Here is a 2774-nt window from a genome sequence, read left to right on the forward strand (position 1 = left end):
TTACATATTGCTAACCTGCCTCCCAAATCAATTGTATGAATTTGCACTCCCATCAACAGTGCATGAGTTGTGTCTGTTTCCCTCCATCTTTGCTGAATTCTGCCAATCTTTTTAACCTTTGCCACTCTGATCTATTGAAAAATATCTCAATCTTGTTTTAATCTGTAGTTCCATTCCTAATGAGGCTGAAAATCTTTTCAAGTATTTATTTCCATTTGTATTTCTTCTTTTGTTAATAGCATGTTTAGGCCTGTTTTTTTTTTGTTTTTTGTTTTTTTTTTTTGAGACGGAGTCTCCCTCTGTCACCCAGGCTGGAGTGCAACGGCGCAATCTCGGCTTACTGCAAACTCTGTCTCCCGGGTTCAAGCGATTCTCCTGCCTCAGCCTCTCAAGTAGCTGAGACTACAGGCATGTGCCACCATGCCGGGCTAATTTTTGTAATTTTAGTAGAGACGGGGTTTCACCATGTTGTCCAGGCTGGTCTCCAACTCCTGACCTCAAGTGATCTGCCTGCCTCAGCGTCACAAAGTGCTGGGATTACAGGCATGAGCCACCGCGCCCGGCCCCCAAGGATTTTTTAACTTCCATATTGTGCTTAGGAAAACTGCCTAATTATTAAAATATAGTTAAAAGATTAATAGTTCCAGGATTATAAAAATATCCATTTGTTTCTTTCAATACTTTTATTGTTTCTTTTATCACATGTAAATTTTTGATCTAGGTGGAATTTATTTAGATTTAATGAGAGAGGTGGAGCTCTAGCTTAATTTTTCTCCAAGTGGCTAGTCTGTGGCTAGTCCCATTCTGTTTATTGACTTCTTTTTCTCCACCAGTTGGAAATGTCACCTTTATCATACACTACAATTCCTCATACACCTGGCTCTGTTTCTATACTCTGTTTGGTTTAATAGGACTGTATTTCTTTGTTGAAATTGCTGTTTTAGCTGTTGTAGCTATCTAATGCATTTTAATATCTGGTAGAACAAGTCCCAGCTCGTTAATCTTCTTCAAAGTTTTCCTGGCAGTAGAGCAAAGTGGTAAAATTCATGGACCTTGAGGTCAGCCCGCCTGAGCTTTAATCCCAGGTTAGCCGCTAACTAGCTGTGTTACCTTGAACAAGTTATTTTTTTGCTCTCTGAACTTCTGCTTCCTCATCTGTATAATGTTAACAATAACAGTATCTACCTCACAGTGTGTTTGTGAAGATGTGATGAGACGATGCATAGCAAGTCCTCAGGATGGCACCTGGCACATGGTGAGTGGTCAGTAAATGTTAGGTCTTTTTTTTTATGAAAATGATGCACCTATTTTTCCAGTTGAATTTTAGGATTGTTTTGACAATAAAATCTCACTGGGATCTTCATTGGGATGACATTTACTTGGTGGGATGATTTTGGGATAATTAATATCCACGTTATAGGACCTTCCACTCTAAGGAAAGCTCTGATTTCCACTGGTCCAAGATGTTATGCTCTTCAGTAGAGTTTTATAGTTTTCTTTTTATAAGACCAGTACATTTTTGTTAACTTTATTTCCAGATGGTGTAATTTTTTTTATCTATTACTATTATTATTATTATTCTTTTTTGAGACGGAGTCTCACTCTGTCACCCAGGCTGGAGTGCAGTGACACCATCTTGGCTCACTGCAACTTCCACCTCCAAGGTTCAAGCAATTCTCCTGCCTCAGCCTCCCAAGTAGCCGGAATTAGAGGCATGCGCCACCATGCCTGGCTAATTTTTGTATTTTTAGTAGAGACTGGTTTCACCATGTTGGTCAGGCTGGTCTCAAACTCCTGACCTCAAGTGATCCTCCCGCCTCAGCCTCCCAAAGTGCTGGGTTTACAAGTGTGAGCCACTGTGCCCAGCCCAGATGATGTAATATTTTAATTGCTCTTGTGAATGGAATCCTTTTTTTCCCACCATTTTTTTTTCTCCCAACCCATTTTGGTTTTTTCTCCCAACCTATTTCCTGTTTTTGAGACATGTCTCACTCTGTTGCCCAGACTGGAGTGCAATGGCATGATCAGAGGTCCCTGCAATGTTGAACTCCTAGGCTCAAGCAGCTCTCCTGCCCCAGCCTCCCAAGTAGCTGGGACTACAGGTGTGCATCACCATACCCAGCTAATTTATTTTATTTTTAGTATAGATGAAGTCTTGTTATATTGTGCAGGCTGGTCTTGAACTCCTGGGCTGAAATTATACCCTTGCCTCAGCCTCCCAAAATGCTGAGATTGCAGGTGCAAACCACTGTGCCCAGCCATCTCACCATTATTATTATTATTTTCTTCTCCTTCTCCTTCTTCCTCTTCCTCTTTTCTTCTTGTTCTTCTTTTCCCTATTCTTCTTCCTCTTCCTCCTTCTCCTTCTTTTTTTCTTCTTATTTTTTTTGAGACACGGTCTCACTATGTTGCCCAGGCTGGTCTTGAATGCCTGGCCTCAAGCAACCCTACCACCTTGGTCTCCCAAAGTGCTAGGATTACAGGCATGAGCCACTGTGCCTGGCCCTCATCGCACCATTTTCTAATGGAATTATTAGTAGTACATTAAAAGTTATTCATTTTTGAATGCTTATTTTGCACCCAAAGTGACTATAATTGTTGAGTTTGGAACTAATTTCTCCCCTACCTGGTGTCAGCTTTCAGACATCCCCTTCTGTCAACTCTAACAGCACCCCAGGCTTCTATCTGCTAGGGCACCTACTACGTTGGCTTGCCATCATTTGTAATCCATCTGTGTAAACACAGGAACTGTGTCTATCTAGGCTGTAAGTCCC

Source organism: Homo sapiens, chromosome 20, assembly GCF_000001405.40.
Source record: "Homo sapiens chromosome 20, GRCh38.p14 Primary Assembly".
NCBI classification, from domain to species: Eukaryota; Metazoa; Chordata; class Mammalia; order Primates; family Hominidae; genus Homo; species Homo sapiens.